This window comes from Homo sapiens, chromosome 2 (assembly GCF_000001405.40).
Source record: "Homo sapiens chromosome 2, GRCh38.p14 Primary Assembly".
Lineage (NCBI taxonomy): Eukaryota > Metazoa > Chordata > Mammalia > Primates > Hominidae > Homo > Homo sapiens.
Window position 1 is genome coordinate 219,913,442 of NC_000002.12, and position 27,331 is coordinate 219,940,772.

Consider the following 27,331-nt stretch of genomic DNA (forward strand, 5'->3'; position numbering starts at 1 on the left):
GACATACCTGAGTCTGGGTAATTTATAAAGAAAAAGAGGTTTAATGGACTCACAGTTCCAAGTGGCTGGGGAGGCCTCACATTCATGGTGGAATGTGAAAGGCACGCCTTACGTGGTGGCAGCAAAGAGAGAATGAGAGCCAGGCAAAAGAGTTGTTCCCTTATAAAATCGCCAGATCTCATGAGACTTATTCACTACCATGAGAACAGTATGGGGGAACTGCCCCCATGATTCAATGATCTCCCACTGGGTCCCTTCCACGTGGGAATTATGGGAGCTACAATTCAAGATGAGATTTGGGTGGGGACACAGCCGAACCATATTAAAGGGGTTCAGAGGCGGCTCTGTTTAAAATTCTGTGCTGCATCATGAACTTCTGAGTGCAGCCCAATCATCAGAATGGTCACAACACCCTCCCCAGTGATCACGGTAGGGCTTCATCTCATTTCAGAACCTTTGACAAGCTCGAGTTTGGCACGGTACTTCATTTTGGCATGTAACTTTCTTCAGCTATTGTCTGTGCATTTTATTTTTCTCCAGTGAGACTGCCCATTCCTTGAGGGTCCCCTAGAAGTTTCCTGCCCATCCCTGACTTTAAGCAGACCCAGGCAGGAGAATGAAGCCCACACCACCACAGTCCTGCACCGGCCTCCACTCTGCCCCGCAGTTGATGATTCTGGCCCTTTTGTTAATGACTCTGGATTCTCAAGGCTGAGAGGCCCAGGAACTGAAGAATGGTCTGAGGCAGGAAGAGGAGGGCATCCTTTCTCCACGTTATGCCCTCTGGCTGGGCTTACATTGTTCCCAGGGAGGATGCGCTGTGGGAAAGTGGGATGCAGGAAGCAGAGCCGCTTTATGGCTCCTTCTCTGAGAGTGCGTCTGCAGTGGCTGGCTGTATGTCTCAATTTGTGTCTTTACGTGGCTGCCAGCCCTACCTTTGCCCACTGTGGGTTACCTTCCTGCCTCGGGGCACCATTGCCTGGGGAGGCATTATTGTGTGGTGCAGCCATGAGACCCGGGTTGCAGTACTAGCCTTGACAAACTCACTCTCTGACTGAGCTTGACTCAGTGGCCTTATCCGTCAAAATCAAGTACTAGCTTATACCCTATGCAGCTTGGCCAAGCCAAGATCCAATGCCATATCTGCCTGGTTCTGAGGGCTGAGCCCTCCTCACTGCCCTGAACTTCAAGGTGCTGAGTGTGCAGCTCTTTGTGGAAGCGCAGAGTGGGGCTGACAGCTGACACCCCTGAAACCGTCTACAGAGCCACCCACCTGCTGGCTTGTCCAGGCTGTCTTCATTTCAGCTCTCGTATGAGTAGCTGGTGTGGGGCACGACAGAAGCCAGCACCAGCGAGGACAGACAGACAGATCTTATGGCTCCCTTCTCAGTGTCCCAGTTTCAAGGCCCTGTCCTGGCCTTTGAGGAGCCTCAGTTAGGACTGCACTATTCCATGATGATGTGCTCTTGGGCATCTGCAGATTGTTGAAGGGAAGATATTTTCAGCATTTTCTTAGGCATAGCAAGCAGATTTATTTGCCTGTCATTTGCAGGGTTAACAACAAAAAAAACCCCACAAAATAAAAAACAAACCCAGGCCCCATGCTGGCTGTTGCTCAGCTCTGGGCTTCATTACTACCACTGTCCTGGCTTATGAGAGCCAGCATGGATCTTTCAGTATTCTAGAAGTTTCTGAAACATTGTAGGGTGCAGGTTTAGCAGAGACAGTCTATCTTTCTCGCTTGTGTAATTTGCCTTACAGAATGCTTCTATGTGAGCTTGATTTCCCTCCTCCCTTTTTCATGTTAGCTGTCCTGATTCTAGCTTAATGATTTTGGGGGTGAAGTGGGGAGGGGTCTGGGGATTAGTGACTTTGCATAAAAGTACTACTAAAAGCTCTGTCTCTGGGGTCACCTGACATTTGCTTTCTCTCAGCAATCGATCAAAGTACAATAATGTTCTTTGGTGAGTTTCCTCTTTCTGATACATTTGATGGTGGTCCAGTGGAAGGGGATAGATTTTTGGAGTCAGTGGGATTTAGGTTCAAACCCCTCCTGTGTCACTTATAGGCTATTTAATCTTGCACAAGTTTGGAAATAACTGGAGCTTCTGTAAGAGAAGGAAGGGACCTTTTGTGACAGAGGAGGGCTATGGCATAGCTGTCAACAGCCCTCAGGTTTGGGTGGGTGCTCACTGTACTAAAAATAGATTACTTATTGATTTTTATTATTATTTTTGTAGTAATTCAGACAGAAGAAATACTAATTAAATGCCATTTAGTGCTTATCTGGTGCTAGAAACTGTCTATTCATGCCTTTGGTCCTCACAATGACCCTATGAGGGAGGTATGATTATTATCTCCATTTTTCAGACATGGAAATTAGAGCTCAAAGAAGTTAAGTAATTTGTCCAAGGCAACGCTGCCTGTAAGTGGTAAAGCCACGGCTTAAATCGTGGTGAATTTACTTCTTGCTTTAGGAGATTTTTCTTTGAGTTCTTCCATTTTTTAAAAAACTCTTTTAATATTAATTTCTACTTTTACCTGTGGAAAGAAAAGTGTTAACAGTGGAGAAGATGAGGACTCACTGGTTAGAAAAAATTCTTAAAAGAAAGAAGCAGAAACCCACCATCCCGCTATGTATTCTCAGAAAAGCAGCCCAATGTGGATATTGGTAGAATGGGTCTCAGCTGTGGCAAGAGAAGGGAGAACAAAGTTTGAGGGATCAAAGACACTGTGGCCACCCAATGAGTTTCATCTTAAGCATTACAAGGAATTAAGTGGCTCTTCTGAGTCTTGGAACTTTGGTTCTGTCATCTCTGCCTTGAGCCACTAGAGATAAGTTACTGGTCTTTCTTTTCGTCATTCATCATGGAGGCCAGCTCAGACTTGGTTGAATTCCTTTAGGTACTGATCCAGAAAAATGGAACCCAAGTTGGCTCCCTGTTCAATGAGTCGCATAATAAGCACCCACAGGGCTTGTCCCCGAACCATGGCGACAGTGCCGTGTGAATGACAACGGGGAATTTGTATTTGAAGCCTCTTTGTAAGCTCTAAATGGATAAGCAAATACAAAGACATATTGTTACAAGTGTAGTGGGTATTGAAGGTTGGAGTGTTGGGTTTTGAAAAGGAAGGGGAACAGTTTGTGTTCTCCATTGGAAAGAAATAGTAGGTAACTGAATAGAAATCATTTTAAGTAAGCAATGTTTAGAGGCAAATTAGAAATTGGGCACCTACAAGGCTCACTCTGAGTGGGGGTGATGCATGGAAAGGACAAAAAGGCCTGAATTACTGGAGGAATTTAGGAAAGGGATGGTGGAAAAGCACCTGAACATTGTGTTAAAACAAAAATACATTAAATGAGTATGGGGCGAGATCAAGGAGAAGAGAGTTCTTGGCAGAGGTTGCTGCTGTAATTTATCCCAGACCCTTTAATTCCTGACCACCACCCCAGGGAGGAGATTATCACCTCCCCCAGCTAGCACAATTGGCTGGTATGGAGGTTGTTAACTTGAGAAAATCACCAGAGATAGTATTGGGCAACTTCAAAAGTCCACTGTCTTTTTCAATGAGCTTGTTGTGAAAGGGCTTAAACAGAACACTAATAACAGCTAAAGATCTAGCTGCAGGTGGCTGTCTAATTCCAATCAAAATAATCTTCTCCAAGTCTTAGTGGATAAAGGAGGGCAGAATTAAAAAGGGAACCGAGAGTGATTTTTGGCACGGGCACCAAGTCTGTTGTGGAGGAAGACTATTGGTGTTGGCAGTGCACAGTTAGGTTTTTTCCCAGCAACAAATTTTTCTCTTCCCTTGATGGCTTGGAAGGTCTGTACACAAATGCCTTTGTGTCAGTTGTATACAGCTGCACACACCATGTGGTATTTGCTTTAGTTAACAGTACAGTGGAGGGAGAGTAGGTTGTTGGCTTTTGAAAGAATCAGAATTATTATATACAGGCATCTTTCTCCCTTTCCTAGAAGCTCCCATGCTGGCTTGAAAATATACTGTTTTCGAATTACAGACTTAATGCCCTTAGAGCTTCTTTCTTCGGGGGTAGTTTGTGTTTAATCAATGTTCTACTAGACTTTCCAAGACACTGTTCCTTGGTAATGGATGTCACTTGAATACAATTTTCTGTAGTCAGATAAGATTGCCAAATGCTAGATCCCACAAATTTTAACAGGTATGTTTACTGCAGGACTTTCCAGAGCCTTCAATGTGCAAATTAGTTTTGAATCACCTACTAAGTGGTACTTTGACTCCCCAAAATAAAAAAAAAGTTTGCTCCAAATCCCAAATTATCTGGCTTTTTTTTTCACAGATGCATCCTGGGAAATACTGTTCTCTTTAAAACTGCAGGAGTGGCCCCCGTTGAGATGGAGGTTGAACAAGCATTTCCCTAGAGTCCTGTGGTCCATAGCATTGTCTGCTAAGATGCTGGGCTGTCCTGGAGCTGCGGCTGGAGTCAGGTTCAAATGCAGCACCCGGCAGCACACTACACAGGTGTGTGTGTGTGTGTGTGTGTGTGTGTGTGTGTTATGTGTTTGGGCTGGTTGTTGGAATGAGGACAAAAGAGGAAGTTGGAAGAAGAGATGAGAACTTGCTCCCTCCTCTTAGGAACACCCAAACTTGTGGATTCCTCCAAGAATCTTCCTTCCTGGGCCCAATTGTCAAAGCCTAGTCATAGGTGGAATTGTTGTAAAAGTCATTCCCAAGTGGCTCAGTATGTATAGCTTGTCATTGACGTGAGCAGATTTCTGCAGCTGAAAATAGTGACATCCAGTCATTTGGGCCAATTTGTGAATTTTCCTCAGGGATGTGAGCTTGGGGAGGTAATTTTATGCCAAGAAGAAAGTCATGGAAACAGTTGTTTTCCTGAGAAGACCTGCCCCCTATTTCCCTTAAAAAGAAGACAGGAACTTTCAGATGGCTGTAGTCCAGGAACCTCGAATACAGTTAGTGAATAATCACCCCTAGCTTCATGAATCCTCATGAGGTCCATCATTTTGGCAGCCTTCCTTCTTGTTCCCTAAAAGGGTTTGAACTCGATGTTTCTGGGTCTGTGAAGGCTTCCACATCTTCCATCTAAATCATTTTTATTTGCTGGACTACAAGGGAAAAACCACACCAAAAGAACTCTCCCCATATCTCTCAGACTTCACGAGCAAAAGGAGAGCATTCCAGAAATGGCAGAGCCAGAAAAACCATAAAGATACACTTTTTGAAAGACAATCTGGAAATGGAGCTTAAAAAGGTTTTTGCTAAGCCTTGATCATGCCAAGTGAATTCTCTTTCAGTCATTAAAGAAGGAAACCTACCCCCTAAGAACCGAAGTTAGCAGCTATATCAGGTCAAAGGAACTTGGGAAGAGAACAGGATTGTTTATTAATCTTATAGTATCTCTTTCCTAATAAAACCCCAATCGTCTGCCTTATGCATGTTACCATAACACTCAAACCAGGTTTGTTGGTTATTTATTTATTTAAGATGTTTGGCCTGTTTGGAAATTAAACACTTTCTTGGATTTCATCTCTTTGGGCCAATGGCAGACCTGCTGGGGGGGTGATCCTAAGAGGATACAATAATAAAAGCCTTAATAGGGTAGCACAATGGGAAAAAGCCAAAATGAATTAGCTTGCTGTGACATGGCTAACATCATTGCATTTATATATGTTTCATTAAGCGGGGGCTTGACAGCTTTATGAGGAAACAGTGGGGTTTGCAATGGAGGAAGGCCCTGTAACCCTGCCAAAGCTGATCTCGGCCTGTGCCATGCATGCTCTTTAATAGAATAATATTTGCACAGTGAAAATGTCATTTTAAATGACTGGTTTGATAATCCCTTAAGCTTTTAAATGATCTGCAAAGTCTGGAAATTCTACCCGTGTTTAAAATTGACGGGAACATTAATGAATGCAAACATTAAAGGATGGTCTCCAGCTTTGTTTCCTGAGTCAGACATCGCTTACTAGGATTTCTTTCCTCTTTTTGTCCCTTGTGCTCTTTCTGCAACACAAGCGTACTCACCAAGCAGCTGCAGTGGCCTTCACTGCAGGGATGTCTTTGGGGTGGGACAGCTCAGCCTGTAGTGGGACATGGACTTACCAGGATTGTTGTTAGCATGCAGCTCTTTCCTGCAGAGTAGAAAAGGCATCCCCTCTGGGAGGGAGCCTGCAGAAGGGAATCCCTTTGGGCAGAACAATTAGCAAAGGGCATGTATCTCTCCAGCTGGCGCATCGTGAGCCAGGGTCTTAGCGTGGTGAGCACAGAGTAGGAAGAATTTAGCCCTTACTGCAGCCCCCTCAGGGAAAGTCCTGCACAACCATATGCAGCATCCCTGGTGATGTCTACCTTGTTTTGTTCAGACCCCCTTTGGACCAGGATAAAAGCCTCCCTGTCTGCTGGACAAACATCCTGTGCGAGATGAGATTTTGGGAAGGCTTTTCCTTGGGAGGACAAAGCCCCATTCAGTCCCTTCCTCCTTTCAATGACTCTCGAATAGGGTAGGAAGGCTGTGTAAGGATTACCTTCTCAAGAATAGAGCGATAGATGGAGGGCTTGGCAAACTAAAGCTTCGGGGCCAAATCTGGCCCTCTGTTGTTATAAATAAAGTTTTATTGGAACACAATCATACCCATTCATGTATTGACTGTGGCTGCTTTCCTATGACAATGGCAGAGCTGGATAGTTGCAATAGAGACTGTATGGTCCACAGAGCCTAAAATATTTGCCATCTGGCTCTTAACAGAAAAATCCTGCAGATCCCTGTCCCAGACCACTGGACAAAATGAGGTAGCATCCCTGGCTGGAGTCCTGGCTCTGTTAATTTTTGTATGTCCTTGGGAAAGTTACTTAATATCTCTTTTTCTTAGTTTTCTCATAAGTAACATGGGGATATTTCTGCTCTGCCCACTTCGTGCAGCTGCTGTGAGGATTTAATGATTAAATAGAAAAGTGCTGTACATGTGTGAGGTCTGCCAAGGTCTAGGGCTGGTACCTTGGGGAAAGCCTTTTGACCTCTTTAGAGCTATTCCTTTATCTGTAAAACAAGAGAGGTGCTCTAGATTAACACTCGTCAGACTTTAATGTCCATATGTTCAACTGGAGATTTTGGTAAAATGCAGATTCTGATTTGGTAGGTCTGGGGTTGGGGGTGAAAGTCTGCATTTTTTACCAGCTCCCAGAAGACGCTGATGCTGCTGGGCTGGTGTATTCATTAAGGTGCTCCAGAGAAACAGAACCAATAGGATATATATATACAGAGAGAGATTTAAGGAATTGGCTCACTCAGTAATGGAGGCTGGCAAGTCCAAAATATACTGGGTGAACTATCAGCTTGAAAACTCAGGAAAGAGCCTTTACTGCTGTTCGAGTCCAATGGCTGTCTGTGGCAGAATTCCCTCTTGCTTGCGAGAGATCAGTCTTTTGTTCAATTCAGGTCCTCAGCTGATTGAAAGAGGTCCAATATGGTGGGCAACAGCTTTACTCAAAGCCCGCTGATTTAAATGTTAACTTCATGTAAAACCACTCACAGAAGGATCCAGAATAATGTTTGACCAACTATTTGGGCACCCTGTAACCCAGCCGACTCATAAAACTAACCATCACAACTGGGTACCGCACTCGGAGGAGCAAGGGGCCAGATTATCTTGCTGGTACTCTCTGCTCATGTAATTGATGAGCAACTGGCAAATGCTGTTGTAACCATAACAGTCACTTTCCCAGGCACCCTTCTCCCACCGCATGCCTCAGCAGAGGGGTCCTGCACTTGTCCCAGCTCGTAGCCTAACCTTGCATCTGGTGAGAAGAGATGGTTATTTTTCCACTTCCAGGAGAGCTCTGGCCAAACCCTTCGTCTGGCAGCCAGGTGGCTTGACAGAGCAGCTAGTGGCAGGCTGAACCCTTCCTGGCTGGCCTCAGCCTGGACGCAGCTGGAAGGTGTCCCACCTCCCTGCTTTCTGCCCCAGAAAACAAAACTAGTTAGTGGCAACCTGGCATGTGGAGATTGCAGAATTTGAATCCTCCTGCATTTCACTGAAGTGAAATGTCTCCTGTGCTCCCACTGGCTGCTAGTGCTGCCAAAAAATTCTCTCAGGCTTTTGTTTCCAACCACATTTTTCACAGGCCACTAGAGGCTATTGGCTGTTTGTCCTAATTGCCACCTGAAGCCAGTAAGGCCTTTTAAGGAGAGGATTGTCTTGTAGGTAGGGTCAGAGCCAAGATTTCTGCCTCTGTGTGGTGGAGCAGGTGAGAGAGGACGGAGTGGGAAGATGGGTCTGGGGATGGTGGTAGAGAAACACATTAACGGGATTATTTGCCAACAATTGCCCATCAAACAGGTCAGGGTGCTAGATTAGACCCAGATACACTGGGCAGCAGTACAGGACTATGATGTAAAAAGATGCAGTTTTAGACTCAGATGAACCTAGGTTCAAATCCCACCTTTGCCTCTTTTCCCAGCGGTACTTGGGCAAGATTCTTAACCTTTCTGTAGTTCAGTTTTCTCATAGCTTTGTTGTGAGAATAAATGATACCTATTTTTCCATTCAGAAATCCTCTGGGGCTCCCTGTTTCCTTCTCATCAACTTCCAGATACCCTCTGACTGGATCTGGGATCCCACTTAGCTCAGTCTCTGGCACTAATAGAAATCCAGCAAAAATTCAGCCAACAAATATCAGGCCATGAAGGCCATACACACAATATACGTTTTTTTACAAAGGAAAATGAAGCAGACTAAAGCACTAATTTGATCAATTCACATTTCAATCCTTTAGCTCATGAGTTCTGGAAACTTCAGCAAGTTCCTTGACTTCTTTGTGTTTTGGTTTCCTCTTCTGTAATAGGATAACCACTGGGCTTGTTTGCTGGGATTGTCGTGAGGATTAGATGAGATAATATAGCCAAAGCTTTAGTGTGGACCTGGTACATCGCAAACCCTAGCTCTTAGCTCTTCTTGCACCTGTTATTTCAAGATTCCCCAGGTGTGTTCAGCTGTGTTAAGAAAGGGTTTGCAGAGTAGTGGTTGTGGATTCCCTGCGCAACTGTGGCCTTCAAGATGCTTTAAAAACTAGCTGGGGAACCAAGCCCAAATCTCTGGGCTATGTTCCCTCACAAACCTTGGGTAAAGAAAACTTAGGGTAGACCTGGCCCACAGTTTCACTTGAACTGGACTCTTGACCTTTCTTTTTAACCCTTGCCCTTTTCGCCCAGCACATTCTCCAAGGCTGTGCGAGGGCTTTATTGCTCGTTTCTTGAAGCCACCTTTATGCTTTCTTCTTTACACCCTGTATGTAGTTTCTCATCAGGACCTTGAGTCTTTCTCTACCATGTTTCACGCCAATGCTTCTTTGCTGTTTCTATTAGCCCATCTTGCCTTGGCCTTCTTCCTTGGGCATCTGGCCTGCTGCAATAGCTCGAGGACAGCAGCTTTCAACGCTGGCCACACCAAAATCACCTGGGGGAAGTTTTAACAAGATAATGCAGTCCTAAAGCACCAAGCCCCAAGATTTTGATTCAGAGAGTCAGGGATGGAACCACAGACAGCTGTGTTTTAAAGTCTCCCCAGGTGATTCCAATTTGCAGCCTGGGTTAAGAACCTCTGTTAGAGGCTTTCCTGTGTTCAGCTGCAAAATCAGGAGCCCAGAAGCTTTTAGAACTTTGCTTTTCTCATCTGCAGAAGGGATAGTCCTGCCATCCACCCAACCAATGAGATCGGGTTGGATGCTTCAACCCCAGCTCAAACGCCCGTTAAACAAACAAACAACCATGTTTCTCTCAGATCATGTTTTGCCTTTCGTTGTATTTATTTGAGCACTTATGTCGTTCATTAGACAGTAAGCTGCTTGGGAAAGGATCCACAGCTTGTTTAACTTTGTACCTCCCATAATGTTTAGTATAAGGGCTTGACACATAGTAAATATTCAATATATGATCATTGGATTGATTTGCAGTTGTTTTGTGTGCCCTGCAGGGTCTGGAACAGTACTGAGAGCATAGTAAACACTCAATAAACACTGATTGATTGATTAATGTATCTATTCAAAACCTATATAGAGAAAATGGAGGGCACAGAAACAGACCCAGCCCTATATTAACTGAATGGTGGTAGGGAAGTAATTTAACTCTGAGTGCCTTTGCCTTTGGTGTGTGGGTATGTGCAAGAGCTCATGGAAATACACGTACACAGGCAGTGACATACACATACATACAGAGTTCTTGGAAATTCAAGAACTGATCATCTGCTTAGGTGATCCTCTCTGCTACTACTTGGTAGAAACTGAAATGTCAAATGAGGACATTGGTAGACTTAGTTTAGTCATGCTCACAGTAATAAAATAATTTAATATAAAAGTATTTTGGAAAGTACCAACACATGCAAATTATTACAAATGGGTTAGGCACCAACAGGTTGGGACTGTAGATGCTTGGGTTCTAGTCCCTGGGCAGCCCTTCACCTGTTGGACAATATTGGCTACATCCCTTAATGTCCCTGAACTTCAACTTCCACATCTGGAAATAAAGCTTTGGATTAAATCAGCAATTCTTATGCCCTGAAATGCAGCCAAAAGAACACTGATTTTTCAGAATATTAAAGATGTTGATAGGTGTTCAAGACAAATCAACCAATAAACAAATCTTCGGGAAACAAACAAAAGTTGTTTCGGATATACTATTATACTTAAGCCAAATGAAATAACTTTTTCTAGGACTTCTCAGGGACTTTATTTTTTGATGTTTACTGTGACTCACCAAGGGGATGTGGAAAGGTTTCTTGCAAGCCATTTGGCTCTGAAACACTCTCCCTCCACCCCAGAAAGCTTATTAACAATCGGAGGCATTTGCAAACTCTCACTCAGCAGCGGCTGATGCTCAGTGTACCCTGGTATTTTGCTAAGATAACCACCTCACAGGTTGCCTCTAGGCACCAGCTCACTACAAAGAAAATCTCCTTGTCTGTGATGCTTTTACCTCAGTTTTGTTGGTATATAATCTTACCTGTCCTTCATTAATTCACCTCTTTCAGGAAGTCTTCCCACCTTGCTCCATCCCATAGTGATAGCCCCTGACTTGAAAGCAGTTAATGCAGCAGAGTAAAAAGAGGAAGGACTTCATAGTCAGACAGCCAACGTTTGAATCCTAGCTCCACCAGCTGTGTGGGTACCTGGTCAAGCCACAGCCTCTCTGAGTCTGATTGCGTTTGTCTATACTTTGTGGGTAATACTCCATGGGCATTTGGGGTTTGTACCATGCAGTATTTACTTGTCCTTATTTTTTTTTTTTTTTTTTTAGAGACGGTGTCTCACTCTGTCAGCCCAGGCTGGAGTGAAGTGGCGCAATCTTGGCTCACTGCAGCCTCCGTCTCCTGAATTCAAGCAATTCTCCTGCCTCAGCCTCCCAAGAAGCTCAGATTACAGGTGCGCCCCACCATGCCTGGCTAATTTTTTGTATTTTTAGTAGAGATGGGGTTTCACCATACTGGCCAGGCTGGTCTCGAACTCCTGACCTCATGATTGGCCCGCCTCAGTCTCCCAAAGTGCTGGGATTATAGGCGTGAGCCACCGCACCTAGCCTACTTGTCCTTCTAGTACAACATCAGGGGAAATTTCCCTCTGGGGCCCATCCCAGCCATGCTCTGAGCCAACATGGGGGTAGGTGCCCAGGCCCAAGGCACCACTTTATCACATTCCCCTGGCCATAGCAATGGGCCTTGGACACAATCAGGATCAATGAAACACAGTATTACTTTGCTAATATTTCTAAAAAAGAGGCTCTTGCTCTTTTCTACTGGATTTGAAACTTAGGGCAGATAAAGCCTGAGGATGCTGCAACCATCTTACAACTGTGAGGGGAGAGCCTTTCTGATAATAGAATCAACACAGTAGAATATAGGCTTCATGGTTGGAGTTTCAGCGGCCATCTTGGACCATGAGGTGACCTTGGGAATGGAAACCATAGAAGATGCCTAGGTTTCTGCCACCATGAACGCTATTCCAGTTTTGGACTATTTTTTATCATTTGAAAGTGAGAAGTAAATGTCTATTACATTTAAGTGACTGTCACTGTTTTCTGTTATTCACAGCTGAACCTCATCTGAACCCATAGTTTGAGTCAGCTTTTGTTTTCTTTGCTTGTTTATTTTTAAACAGAAAGGGTCCTGTCTGACATAGTCTCCCACCCCCATGGTAGGATTATGTCATGGGTTGAACTATATTACCCCCCAATTTCATATGAAGTTCTAATCCCTAGTCCCCAAATGTGACTGTATTTGGAGACAGGGTATTTAAAGAGGTAATTATATTAAAATTAGGTCTTTAGTGTGGGCCCTAATCCAATATAGACTGGGATCCTTGTAAGAAGAAGAAAGTTGGACACAGATATGTGTGCTAAACAGAGGAAAGGGAAGAGTGAGAAGGTGGCCATATGCAAGCCAAGGAGACAGGCCTCGGGATAAAACCAGATCTACCAAAAGCTTCATCTTGGACTTTTGGCCTCTACAACTATGAAGAAATAAATTTATGTTGTTTAAAGCCATGCAGTCTGTAGGACTTTGTTATGGCAGTCCTAGCAGACTACTACGGAGTAAATGAAATAATCATGTATAGTAGGCATCTAGCTCAGTGTTTGTAGCTAAGAACCCTCAGCAAATGTGACTTCCTGTTCCCCATGCACTAACTCATACTGTCAGGAAACTCTCTATGGGACAATGTGCTCCATTTTCCTAACTAGATCCTTGAAGGCTCCGAAGCACCTGAGTCAGGACTATTATGCACATTAGAATGCTCAATAGATGCTTATTGATTAATTAGGACTCCCTAGGCCATGCTAGGCAGGCAGAGATGGATTAAGCTGTTTGATAAAGTCTACCCTAATGCACCGTACTTCTCTGGCAGCCTTTTTCTTTAAAGGGAGAAAAGAAGGAGAAGGCAGCTTTTACAGTTGGTTGAAATATCCTGGAAGAAACTGTCAGGGGAAATAGTCATGGAGATGAAGTTGACAGAGTGATGGCCAGGCAGCCCTTTACGATTAGTTGCAAGCTACCAGTTATGTCTGTTTTAATCTGGAGGATGCTTCAGTAATGAAGCGAGTGCGTGAATCTCAATAATGCAAAGTTAATGTTGTTAGCATTGGCCACCATCATTGCTTCACTTTTGTCCAACAGGGATTTTTTTTTATTATTATTATCCTCCTTCAGAGCTGTAATAGGATGGAAATATTCTCACTCACTGTTATTTTTGAGAACAGTAAGTGAATGTTAGCCCTTCTGCCCCTTAAATCCATAGCAACAAACCTATTCCTTTTAAAACCTAATTTCAAAACGGTGGCTAGACCTAGAAATCTATCCTTTTAAGCTCACATGTGGTATGGCAGAGGTTATATCTTCACTCCTGTAATTTTCCTCTGGGGAACGACTAGACTTTCGCTAACAAAAGTATTGGTTAAATTTCACCCACTGGGAAAAAGAAAACTGACAAAAATGTGTCACATTACCTGGGTGTAGGGCTACAGAAGATTTTTTTTTCTTCTGTAGTTGGTAAAGATGTAATGATGTTATTTGATCCTGTGCCCTTCTCTGGGTAAAGTGGCAAATAATGTATTTACCTGGATAATTAAGCAAATGTGAAAAACAGAAGGAAAACCAAACAAACAAAATACATATTTTGTCTGGGCTCTCTGAAGTTTTTCCTGAGATAAGATGAGGGAGGAAAGGTGAGATGAAATTATTCAGATAATTGTCTCACTTCTCTAGCTCACTTTCTGCAGGGAGATGGTCTCATCCTTGGAGGTCTAGCCTTTCTCTGGTGTTGGCTCTTTTTAAGCCGTTATCAGGATAAGCTATTTGAGAGTATCCCCTGTAAAACCATGCAATTTTCTTCGAAGGGTTGCCACAGAAGTTCCATTAGACAGCTAACTCCTAGTAAGTACATTAGAGGAATAATCTTGTCTCATCGGGGCTACTGGCTGAACTGATACTTCTCATTTTAAAAATTTCCTTGTATCTGATTCTGTCAAAAGAAACATTCTTTTAAGAAATATGCTGATTACCAAGCATTCTATTAAATGCTTTATGGCTGAATTTTTTTCCTTACCAATTAGCATCGGATAGCATCAGCTTATAAATGCCCTATTTCAAAAGAAAGTTTTGGAAAAATTCACCATTATTTCTACATTTCAACCTTGAATGATATGAGGAGAATCTTATTGTTAACTGTTAGTTTTTGGATGTTTAGCCTCTTTATTTGTCTATAGTTTGCAAAAAGAGTCTGTAGACAGGTGTGTGTGTGTGTGTGTGTGTGTGTGTGTGTGTGTGTGAATAGAAGAGTCTATTTTTGATTCTTAGAGATACCTGGAAGGACTATTAGTTTACCTATGGTCAGCAAACCCTGATGGTCTGAGACAGGGAGAGAGTCCTGTCCTGCCCTGGATACACAGGGCATCCTTGGAGCTGTTGGGCAGGTCTGCTGCTGTTACCCCCTTCAATAAGAGTTCCCCTCTCGCCCCAGCATCATCTGGTGGCTGATAGACTGGGCTCTGTGGGTGGGAGAGGGGTTAGTATGGAGGCAGCAACCAAGGGCACGTGATAGGGGCCTCTTCCAAGAGGGGTGATGGGCACATACTCAGCAGGTGTTACATAAATGGGCCAAAGATGGTCTCTGGATATTGGCCCCTGGGTTGTTTATTTCTTCACTTCCGGCTGAGACTTCTTAGATCAAAAGCCTATTGGTGCCAAACTCAGTTTTTCACACATCCAATTATTTTAAAAATAGCCCAAACAAGCAGATTTTTAGCCACTTAGGGCCTGCTTGCTTTGCATATCCTGCAAAACCTCACCTCCCACCTGCTGGCCTTTGAAAGGCAGGGCCTTATGCTTACAGGATCCAAGCAGCTCCCATCCTTCCACGTTCTCTGACCTAGACACACTCCACCATCCTGCTGAGGAACATCTCCTGGACGCAACCCTCCTCTTTGCTCCCCCTTCTGGTCCCCCTCTCTCCCAAGAGTTCCCTGGTTCTCTTCCTCTTCAGAGCAGTAGTTCCTTCTGGACAGTCCCATGATATGAAGGGCTTCTCCTCTAACGCAACCTTGTCCAAATGTCTCCCAGTAAAACTCACTGGGGGTTATTTTTCTCTTTATTAGCCCTCAAATTCTTTGAACTCTCACAGTATATTATGATCAAGGCCCTGTTACTCTTGGCCATCAGCTCCATACCCTGTCTCTGAACTGAAGGGCTATACATAGATTTGACTGCACTGTTTCTTTTCTTTTGTGTGTGTGTCTGTGTGTGTATACCTCTTCTAATTGGGACAATGCTCAGTCTTCCAAATCCTGTCTATTCTGAAACACCCACAGAAATAAATTATCTTACCTACTAAGAGGCAATCATTGACTGGTAATGTTTTTGCTGCTTAAGTATAATGGAAAGTACATAGATGTCATTTTATTATTGTTCTATAAACTGCAGTGTATATTTTAGCCTTTGTGATTACACACACACACACACACACACACTATATATATATATATATAAAATGAAATATAAAAAAAGAGTCAACCTTTTCTAACACAAGAGACAAGGGAAAGAGTGGAGTTTGTGGTGGAGAAAGAATGAGACATAGAAATAAAATTAGTATCCAATTATTTAAGGCTGCTTCATGTCATTTGCTAATCTTGTTTTTATAACTAGATTACAAACTTTGTGAGATCGTGGATAAATGTCTTATTCCTTTACCATCTGTGTCCTGCTGCAATATTGGATTAGTATTTGTTCTCAATAAATTTGTTGATGAAGGCAAAGATAGAGAAGAGGAAGTTGACTGGGGAAAAGAAGAGATGGAGGGAAATAAGAGGACAAGGGCTTAGTGAGGAAGAGAGAAATCTAGGAAAGGAAGCTTAGCCAAGTGACCTTAGGCAAAAGTCTTTGAGCTTCAAATTACTAACCTATACATGGGGATAAGATGGCAGGTGTGACTGGATAGGGATGTGGAGTGACTTTTAATGGGGCATAGGTACACTTGCGGGTTGCATCTTTTCCTATGCCAAAAAACCCATGAAGGTGGCCCTCAGAAGAGCAGGTGACCACCTGGGCTCTGGAATCACCTGGAAAGTCTCAGAGCGTTAGTTAGGAAGAAGGTGCCAGGGGACCAGTTTAGAAGAGTAGCCCCTTTGTTTGGGGGAGATGTTATCTAGTTAGGCTCTTTGTATTTTTAGGGCTCAGAAGGGAAAGTCTGGGCAATAGATCCTAGGGGAGGAAAGGAGCCCCCGGACTCTGTGTTGGTAGATCCTGGTTCCTCCTTCACTGAGCTCTCTAAGCTCATGTGGCAGCTGGATGTGGTCACTACACGTGGTTTACAGCTGGATGGAAACCAAAGCACTTAGAGCTAGATTTGGGGGGCCCAGTTAGGAGGCTCCCTCAGAGGAGCTGAGTACTGAGGGAATGGCTGATGTTCCTAGAAAGAGGTGTAACCACCGGCCCCGGAGAAAAGGTCACAGCCGGTGTGGATTATCAAAGGGTGAGAGGAGTCTTAAAAGGGAGACATTAGACTCCCTGCTAATAAGGCCTGTGGAGATTTGGATGATTGATTAGAAGAAGAAGAGACAATGGGATTCACACTTACATTTACAAAGCAGTTCTGACCAGTTATACTATGATTAAACATGCTGCCTGCCTCCCCATGCATGAGGAGCCGAATATGTATTCCAAGGCAAGACAAGGACAATTATAAAAAGATTTAGGAAGATGCCAAGGTTATGGATTGGAAACCTCTGTTGTTCTAAATCGTGTGGCATCACTTGGGCTTTCTCCCTGGTGCAATTACGTTACAGAAAATCACTTTCATGCTGGTGTCCACAGCATGTGGGCAAAATCAGGGAGTTTAAAAGGCCTTCACGGTTAAGAATCTTGGATTGAACACCACATAACTGGTTTCAAAAAGTCTGAAAACAATGGATACTTGAAAATTTATAACTTACCTAGAGGATCACTTGATTTTTTATTGAAGTAATTAAAAATAAAACAACTTCTTCTTGATTCAATTTGTTATTCTTCACCCTCATCTGCCATTGCCAAAAGTTATCCATTTCATTGAAATTTACTAATATGTTTACATACCGGGTACGTTTTTTACTTATAATTTAAAAATCTTCTCCGTATTCCACTATCATCTTTCATTTCTAAATGCATTTACTTATGATTTTGCTTTTTATGTTTATTGATTAGCTTATTCAGAGATTTATCTATTTTACTGAATTTTCAAGGAACCAATTCTTGGTATCATTTATCAACTTTGCTTTTCTATTTTTAATTCATTTATGTATTTATTTATCTTTATTATCTTCTTCCCCTGCTTGAGTTCCATTTTGCCATTTCTTTAGTTTCTTGAGTTGAAAACTTTATTATCTTACCTTCTATTAAAATAGTAGCAAATATATGTGGTTATATATTATATGAAAGCACAGTTTTAACCATATCCTATAAATATGTGTGTGTGTATATATATATGTGTGTATGAAGAAAAATAAATTTAAAAACAAAAATATTATACAATATTGCAGAAATCTGCTGGTGAGGCCTCAGGAAGCTCAGGGAGCTTCCATTCATGGCAGAAGGTGAGGTGGGAACAGGCATATCACATGGCAAGAGAGGCAGCAAGAGTGATGCCAGGCTCTTTTAAACAACCAGCTCTTGTGTGAACTCAGAGTGAGAACTCACTCATTACCACGGGGAGGGCACCAAGCCATTCATGAAGGATCTGTCCCCATGACCCAAACACCTCCCACCAGGCTCCACCTCCAACACTGGGAATTGCATTTCAACATGATATTTGGAAGGGACAAATATGCAAACATATCACATTTGTTATTAATTTCCAGTTTTATTGTGTTGCATTCAGAGAATGTGGCCTGATCACGTCTAATTTTTAGAATGCATTGAGGATTTTTAGTACAATACTTAAAAGCAGAGCAGGTGTTTCTCCGTAAGTGAGGGAGAACACACCCATACCCACTCACCCACCCACCCACACACATGCCAGTGTAACCTTATAGATTCAAAAGCATCATTTTTTCTCTTGTTTTCTGATTACTTGACCTGTCATAGATTGATAATGATATAATAAAGTCTTTATTTGTAAATGACTGCCAAAGGCAGTGTGATGAATTAGAAAAAGCTGTTTTCAGATCTCAGCTCCATCTCTTAGTAGCAAAGGATTTCCCAAAAGCAGTACCTGAGACAAGGATTTGAGTGCAAGTCAATTATTTGATAGGCGACAGGAACACTGGTAAGGAAGTTAAGAAATGAATCAGAGAAGAGGAGGCGGCACTATTTCAGTAAAATGGGTATCTGTGTTGCTTGATATTTATTCTTTGAAATTTGAGGTTTGGGGGAGGAGCCAAGATGGCCGAATAGGAACAGCTCCGGTCTACAGCTCCCAGCGTGAGCGACGCAGAAGACGGGTGATTTCTGCATTTCCATCTGAGGTACCGGGTTCATCTCACTAGGGAGTGCCAGACAGTGGGCGCAGGCCAGTGGGTGCGCGCACCGTGCGCGAGCCGAAGCAGGGCGAGGCATTGCCTCACCTGGGAAGCGCAAGGGGTCAGGGAGTTCCCTTTCCAAGTCAAAGAAAGGGGTGACGGACGCACCTGGAAAATCGGGTCACTCCCACCTGAATATTGCGCTTTTCAGACCGGCTTAAAAAACGGCGCACCAGGAGACTATATCCCACACCTGGCTCCGAGGGTCCTACGCCCACGGAGTCTCGCTGATGGCTAGCACAGCAGTCTGAGATCAAACTGCAAGGCGGCAGCGAGGCTGGGGGAGGGGCGCCCGCCATTGCCCAGGCTTGCTTAGGTAAACAAAGCAGCCGGGAAGCTCCAACTGGGTGGAGCCCACCACAGCTCAAGGAGGCCTGCCTGCCTCTGTAGGCTCCACCTCTGGGGGCAGGGCACAGACAAACAAAAAGACAGCAGTAACCTCTGCACACTTAAATGTCCCTGTCTGACAGCTTTGAAGAGAGCAGTGGTTCTCCCAGCACGCAGCTGGAGATCTGAGAACGGGCAGACTGCCTCCTCAAGTGGGTCCCTGACCCCTGACCCCCGAGCAGCCTAACTGGGAGGCACCCCCCAGCAGGGGCACACTGACACCTCACACGGCAGGGTATTCCAACAGACCTGCAGCTGAGGGTCCTGTCTGTTAGAAGGAAAACTAACAAACAGAAAGGACATCCACACCGAAAACCCATCTGTACATCACCATCATCAAAGACCAAAAGTAGATAAAACCACAAAGATGGGGAAAAAACAGAACAGAAAAACTGGAAACTCTAAAACGCAGAGCGCCTCTCCTCCTCCAAAGGAACGCAGTTCCTCACCAGCAACAGAACAAAGCTGGATGGAGAATGATTTTGACGAGCTGAGAGAGGAAGGCTTCAGACGATCAAATTACTCTGAGCTACGGGAGGACATTCAAACCAAAGGCAAAGAAGTTGAAAACTTTGAAAAAAATTTAGAAGAATGTATAACTAGAATAACCAATACAGAGAAGTGCTTAAAGGAGCTGATGGAGCTGAAAACCAAGGCTCGAGAACTACGTGAAGAATGCAGAAGCCTCAGGAGCCGATGCGATCAACTGGAAGAAAGGGTATCAGCAATGGAAGATGAAATGAATGAAATGAAGCGAGAAGGGAAGTTTAGAGAAAAAAGAATAAAAAGAAATGAGCAAAGCCTCCAAGAAATATGGGACTATGTGAAAAGACCAAATCTATGTCTGATTGGTGTACCTGAAAGTGATGCGGAGAATGGAACCAAGTTGGAAAACACTCTGCAGGATATTATCCAGGAGAGCTTCCCCAATCTAGCAAGGCAGGCCAACGTTCAGATTCAGGAAATACAGAGAACGTCGCAAAGATACTCCTCAAGAAGAGCAACTCCAAGACACATAATTGTCAGATTCACCAAAGTTGAAATGAAGGAAAAAATGTTAAGGGCAGCCAGAGAGAAAGGTCGGGTTACCCTCAAAGGGAAGCCCATCAGACTAACAGCGGATCTCTCGGCAGAAACCCTACAAGCCAGAAGAGAGTGGGGGCCAATATTCAACATTCTTAAAGAAAAGAATTTTCAACCCAGAATTTCATATCCAGCCAAACTAAGCTTCATAAGTGAAGGAGAAATAAAATACTTTACAGACAAGCAAATGCTGAGAGATTTTGTCACCACCAGGCCTGCCCTAAAAGAGCTCCTGAAGGAAGCGCTAAACATGGAAAGGAACAACCAGTACCAGCAGCTGCAAAATCATGCCAAAATGTAAAGACCATCGAGACTAGGAAGAAACTGCATCAACTAACGAGCAAAATCACCAGCTAACGTCATAATGACAGGATAAAATTCACACATAACAATTTAACTTTCAATGTAAATGGACTAAATTCTCCAATTAAAAGACACAGACTGGCAAGTTGGATAAAGAGTCAAGACCCATCAGTGTGCTGTATTCAGGAAATCCATCTCACGTGCAGAGACACACATAGGCTCAAAATAAAAGGATGGAGGAAGATCTACCAAGCAAATGGAAAACAAAAAAAGGCAGGGGTTGCAATCCTAGTCTCTGATAAAACAGACTTTAAACCAACAAAGATCAAAAGAGACAAAGAAGGCCATTACATAATGGTAAAGGGATCAATTCAACAAGAGGAGCTTACTATCCTAAATATATGTGCACCCAATACAGGAGCACCCAGATTCATAAAGCAAGTCCTGAGTGACCTACAAAGAGACTTAGACTCCCACACATTAATAATGGGAGACTTTAACACCCCACTGTCAACATCAGACAGATCAACGAGACAGAAAGTCAACAAGGATACCCAGGAATTGAACTCAGCTCTGCACCAAGCGGACCTAATAGACATTACAGAACTCTCCACCCCAAATCAACAGAATATACATTTTTTTCAGCACCACACCACACCTATTCCAAAATTGACCACATAGTTGGAAGTAAAGCTCTCCTCAGCAAATGTAAAAGAACAGAAATTATAACAATCTCTCAGACCACAGTGCAATCAAACTAGAACTCAGGATTAAGAATCTCACTCAAAGCCGCTCAACTACATGGAAACTGAACAACCTGCTCCTGAATGACTACTGGGTACATACGAAATGAAGGCAGAAATAAAGATGTTCCTTGAAACCAACGAGAACAAAGACACAGCATACCAGAATCTCTGGGACGCATTCAAAGCAGTGTGTAGAGGGAAATTTATAGCACTAAATGCCCACAAGAGAAAGCAGGAAAGATCCAAAATTGACACCCTAACATCACAATTAAAAGAACTAGAAAAGCAAGAGCAAACACATTCAAAAGCTAGCAGAAGGCAAGAAATAACTAAGATCAGAGCAGAACTGAAGGAAATAGAGACACAAAAAACCCTTCAAAAAATCACTGAATCCAGGAGCTGGTTTTTTGAAAGGATCAACAAAATTGATAGACCACTAGCAAGACTAATAAAGAAAAAAAGAGAGAAGAATCAAATAGACACAATAAAAAATGATAAAGGGGATAGCACCACCGATCCCACAGAAATACAAACTACCATCAGAGAATACTACAAACACCTCTACGCAAATAAACTAGAAAATCTAGAAGAAATGGATAAATTCCTTGACACATACACTCTCCCAAGACTAAACCAGGAAGAAGTTGAATCTCTGAATAGACCAATAACAGGAGCTGAAATTGTGGCAATAATCAATAGTTTACCAACCAAAAAGAGTCCAGGACCAGATGGATTCACAGCCGAATTCTACCAGAGGTACAAGGAGGAACTGGTACCATTCCTTCTGAAACTATTCCAATCAATAGAAAAAGAGGGAATCCTCCCTAACTCATTTTATGAGGCCAGCATCATCCTGATACCAAAGCCGGACAGAGACACAACCAAAAAAGAGAATTTTAGACCAATATCCTTGATGAACATTGATGCAAAAATCCTCAATAAAATACTGGCAAACCGAATCCAGCAGCACATCAAAAAGCTTATCCACCATGATCAAGTGGGCTTCATCCCTGGGATGCAAGGCTGGTTCAATATACGCAAATCAATAAATGTAATCCAGCATATAAACAGAGCCAAAGACAAAAACCACATGATTATCTCAATAGATGCAGAAAAAGCCTTTGACAAAATTCAACAACCCTTCATGCTAAAAACTCTCAATAAATTAGGTATTGATGGGACGTATTTCAAAGTAATAAGAGCTATCTATGACAAACCCATAGCCAATATCATACTGAATGGGCAAAAACTGGAAGCATTCCCTTTGAAAACTGGCACAAGACAGGGATGCCCTCTCTCACCGCTCCTATTCAACATAGTGTTGGAAGTTCTTGCCAGGGCAATCAGGCAGGAGAAGGAAATAAAGGGTATTGAATTAGGAAAAGAGAAAGTCAAATTGTCCCTGTTTGCAGATGACATGATTGTTTATCTAGAAAACCCCATCATCTCAGCCCCAAATCTCCTCAAGCTGATATGCAAGTTCAGCAAAGTCTCAGGATACAAAATCAATGTACAAAAATCACAAGCATTCCCATACACCAACAACAGACAAACAGAGAGCCAAATCATGAGTGAACTCCCATTCACAATTGCTTCAAAGAGAATAAAATACCTAGGAATCCAACTTACAAGGGATGTGAAGGACCTCTTCAAGGAGAACTACAAACCACTGCTCAAGGAAATAAAAGAGGATACAAACAAATGGAAGAACATTCCATGCTCATGGGTAGGAAGAATCAATATCGTGAAAATGGCCATACTGCCCAAGGTAATTTACAGATTCAATGCCATCCCCATCAAGCTACCAATGACTTTCTTCACAGAATTGGAAAAAACTACTTTAAAGTTCATATGGAACCAAAAAAGAGCCCGCATCGCCAAGTCAATCCTAAGCCAAAAGAACAAAGCTGGAGGCATCACACTACCTGACTTCAAACTATACTACAAGGCTACAGTAACCAAAACAGCATGGTACTGGTACCAAAACAGAGATATAGACCAATGGAACAGAACAGAGCCCTCAGAAATAACGCCGCATACCTACAACTATCTGATCTTTGACAAACCTGAGAAAAACAAGCAATGGGGAAAGGATTCCCTACTTAAGAACTGGTGCTGGGAAAACTGGCTAGCCATATGTAGAAAGCTGAAACTGGATCCCTTCCTTACACCTTATACAAAAATCAATTCAAGATGGATTAAAGATTTAAACGTTAGACCTAAAACCATAAAAACTCTAGAAGAAAACCTAGGCATTACCATTCAGGACATAGGCGTGGGCAAGGACTTCATGTCCAAAACACCAAAAGCAATGGCAACCAAAGCCAAAATTGACAAATGGAATCTAATTAAACTAAAGAGCTTCTGCACAGCAAAAGAAACTACCATCAGAGTGAACAGGCAACCTACAACATGGGAGAAAATTTTCGCAACCTACTCATCTGACAAAGGGCTAATATCCAGAATCTACAATGAACTCAAACAAATTTACAAGAAAAAAACAAACAACCCCATCAAAAAGTGGGTGAGGGACATGAACAGACACTTCTCAAAAGAAGACATTTATGCAGCCAAAAAACACATGAAAAAATGCTCATCATCACTGGCCATCAGAGAAATGCAAATCAAAACCACTATGAGATATCATCTCACACCAGTTAGAATGGCAATCATTAAAAAGTCAGGAAACAACAGGTGCTGGAGAGGATGTGGAGAAATAGGAACACTTTTACACTGTTGGTGGGACTGTAAACTAGTTCAACCATTGTGGAAGTCAGTGTGGCAATTCCTCAGGGATCTAGAACTAGAAATACCATTTGACCCAGCCATCCCATTACTGGGTATATACCCAAATGACTATAAATCATGCTGCTATAAAGACACATGCACACGTATGTTTATTGCGGCATTATTCACAATAGCAAAGACTTGGAACCAACCCAAATGTCCAACAATGATAGACTGGATTAAGAAAATGTGGCACATATACACCATGGAATACTATGCAGCCATAAAAAATGATGAGTTCATGTCCTTTGTAGGGACATGGATGAAATTGGAAACCATGATTCTCAGTAAACTATCGCAAGAACAAAAAACCAAACACCGCATATTCTCGCTCATAGGTGGGAATTGAACAATGAGATCACATGGACACAGGAAGGGGAATATCACACTCTGGGGACTGTTGTGGGGAGGGGGGAGGGGGGAGGGTTAGCATTGGGAGATATACCTAATGCTAGATGACGAGTTAGTGGGTGCAGCGCACCAGCATGGCACATGTATACACATGTAACTAACCTGCACAATGTGCACATGTACCCTAAAACTTAAAGTATAATTAAAAAAAAATAATAATAGTAATAATAATAATAATAATAATAAAAAGAAATTTGAGGTTTAATTTATTTGCTGTGAAAACCATAGATCTTAGTTGTACAGTTTGATGAATTTTTTAAATATAAACATCCATGTAACTTATACCCCTATTAAGGTATAGAACATTTCTATCACCCCAGAAAACTCCTTCCCAGTCAATTCTGTCATCCTCTAGAGGTGATCATTATCCTGACTTCAATCCCATAATTTGGTTTCACGCACTCTACAACTGTACATAAATGGAATCCTATAGTGTGCATTCTTTTGTATCCAGCTTCGCTTCTTTCACTCGGCATGTCAGTGAGATTCATTATGTCTTTGCATATTTCAGTGGCTACTTTTTATTGCTGAGTAGTATTCCATTGTATTAATATATTATAATTTATTTTTCTATTGTTTTGTTGATAACCATTTGCACTGTTTTCTGAAGAATATGAATAAAGCTGCTGTGAACATTCTTGTACCCTTTTTTTGGGGGGGGGGAGGGAATTTGTCTTTATTTATTTTGAGGAATGTTGTGGTTTGAATGTATTCTCTCCAAACTTTAGGTGTTGCCAATGTGATAGTATTAAGAGATAGGGCTTTACAGAGGTTATTAGATCACAAGGTCTCGTCCCTGTTGCATGGGATTAAATAGAAGAAGCTTCACGCAGTCTTTGGCTCACTTGCCCTTTCACCTTCTGCCAGGTGAGGACACAGCATTCCTCCTTCTGCAGGATGCCGCCCTTGCCAGACAGCTGCACCTGCTGGTGCTTTGATCTTAGACTTCTCAGCCTCCAACACTGCAAGAAAGAAATTTCTATTCTTTATAAATTAACCAGGCTCAGATATTCTGTTGTAGCGGCAACAAAATGAATGAGGACAGAAATCAGTACCAAATAAGTGGGGGTGTTGCTACAACAAAAACCTAAAATTATGAAAGTGGCTTTGGAACTGGGTAGTGGGTAGAGGCTGAGACTGTTTTCAAGTGAATGCTGGAAAAAGCCTGTACGGTTGTGAACAGAGCATTAACGGCAATTCTAGTGAGGGCTTGAAGAGAGGTGAAGGCTCTGTCTTCTTAGTGATCACCTAAATGGTTGTGACCAGAATGCTCATAGAAACATGGGCAGTAACGACTATCCTGATGAAGCCTCAGATGGAAGTGAGGAACAAGTTATTGGAAACTGGAGGAAAGGCCACCCTTGTTATGATGGCAGAGAACTTGGCTGAAGTATGTCCAAATCCTAGGACTTTTAAAAAAGCAATGAACTAGGATATTTGGATATAAGCAGTGAACTAGGATATTTGGCAGAAGAAATCTCTAAGCAGCAAAGTGTTCAGGATGCTGCATAGCTTCTATTAACTACTTACAGCAAGATGTGAGAAAACAGAAATGACTTAAAGGCAGAATTGATAATCAAAAGGGAAGTAGAACACAAAATTTGAAAAATTCTCAGCCTGGCCATGTAAAGAGTAAAAAAGGCATGTTTAGGAGAGAAAACCAGTGGTATGACCAGGTGACCATTTGATAAGGGGATTAGTATGGATAGAAGGAAGCCAGATACTCTTCATCAGGACAATGACCCCAAAGCTTTTCAGAGAACTTCGAGGCTGTCCTGCCCATCACAGGCTCAGAGTGCCAGGGCCTTGAGGGCATAATGGTTTCAAGAGAGGAGTACAGGGCACCCGTGGAACCTTGGATCTTGTTGCTTGGCCACCTTATGTCTCTGCTCCCTGCATTCCAGTGCAATGCTCTGTGGCTGCCCCAGCTGTGGCTCAGGCACACCAAGACGCAGCTCAAGCCACTTCAGAGGGCACAAGCAATGAGCCTTGGTGGTGTCCCTATGGTGCTAATTCTGCAGGTACACAGAGTGCAAGAACTGTGGAGGTATGGCTTCCCCCACTTACATTTCAAAGGATGCCTCATAGAGCTTTAGGACCTATGCAAAAACCTGGTGCAGGGGCAGAGTCACTATAGAGTCCTCACTAGGGCAATACCCAGTATAGCCAAGGGGCTGGTGCCACCATAGAGAGTATTTATTAGGGCAATCCCTAGTGGAGTTGTGGGAATGGGGCCACTCCTGAGATCCCAGACATGCAGAGCCACTGGTGTGTAACACCAGCCAGAGAGATCTGCAGGAACTGTACTACAGCCCGTAAGAGGTGAGGCATGAGCTGCTCCCAGCAAAGCCAGGGGGCAGGGTCCCCTGGAATCTTGGGGACCCAACCTCCACCCCAGTGTGTCTGGAAGGTGGGACTTGGAGTCAAAGATTATTCTCAAACTGTAAGATTTAATTTTGTTTGGCTTGTTGGGTTTTGGACTTAATTTGATACTGATTACCCCTTTCTTCTTGCCCATTTCTCCCTTTTGGAACAGAGATGTCTGTCCTGTGCCTGTTCCACCATTGTATTTTGGAAGCACGTAATTTATTTGATTTCACAAGTTTGCAGCTGGAGGGCAATTTGCCTCAGGATGAAACACACCTTTGAATCTCACCCACATCTGATTTAGATGATATCTAGATGAGATGCTAAACTTTAGACGTTTGAGTTGATTCTGGCACAAGCTAAAACTTTTGGGGGGCTATTGGGATAAAATGCATGTAATTTGCCTGTGAGAATGACATGAATTTTGGAGGGCCAGGGGCAGAATGCTATGGTTTAAATATGTTCCCACTAAAATTCAGGTGTTGCCAATGTGATAGTGTTAACAGGTGGGGCCTTTAAAAGGTAATTAGGCCATGAAGCTTCCTTTATCATGAATGGGATTAAGGTCCTTATCGAAGAGGCTTCATGCAGCATTTGGTTTGCTTGCCCTTCCTCTTTCTCCTAGGTGAGGACACCATGTTCCTCTACTGTTGTGGATGCAGCCCTCACCAGACGACCGAACCTGCCAGTGCCTTGTTCTTGGACTTCCTAGCCTTCA

At 42.9% G+C, this 27,331-nt stretch overlaps 1 long non-coding RNA gene across 2 annotated transcripts in view, besides 2 other annotated features; it reads left to right on the forward strand.

The window, feature by feature from the left end:
• LOC105373890 (uncharacterized) overlaps positions 1-27,331 on the forward strand; it is a 35,773-nt gene extending 8,442 nt beyond the window's left edge. The window contains exons 2-3 of one of the 2 annotated variants that reach the window (XR_001739233.2): positions 4,322-4,503; positions 11,291-11,415. This is a non-coding gene — a long non-coding RNA (uncharacterized LOC105373890). Of the gene's footprint in view, positions 1-4,321; positions 4,504-11,290; positions 11,416-27,238 lie in introns of those variants that run through there. The other variant, XR_923927.3, reaches the window with a different exon arrangement.
• Positions 18,036-18,737: an enhancer, noted in NCBI's record as "H3K27ac-H3K4me1 hESC enhancer chr2:220796198-220796899 (GRCh37/hg19 assembly coordinates)". NCBI's record gives its function as "activates a minimal SCP1, AML or CMV promoter by ChIP-STARR-seq in primed H9 embryonic stem cells {active_cell/tissue: H9 hESC(primed)}" and the evidence as "EXISTENCE:reporter gene assay evidence [ECO:0000049][PMID:30033119]".
• Positions 18,738-19,438: an enhancer, noted in NCBI's record as "H3K27ac-H3K4me1 hESC enhancer chr2:220796900-220797600 (GRCh37/hg19 assembly coordinates)". NCBI's record gives its function as "activates a minimal SCP1, AML or CMV promoter by ChIP-STARR-seq in primed H9 embryonic stem cells {active_cell/tissue: H9 hESC(primed)}" and the evidence as "EXISTENCE:reporter gene assay evidence [ECO:0000049][PMID:30033119]".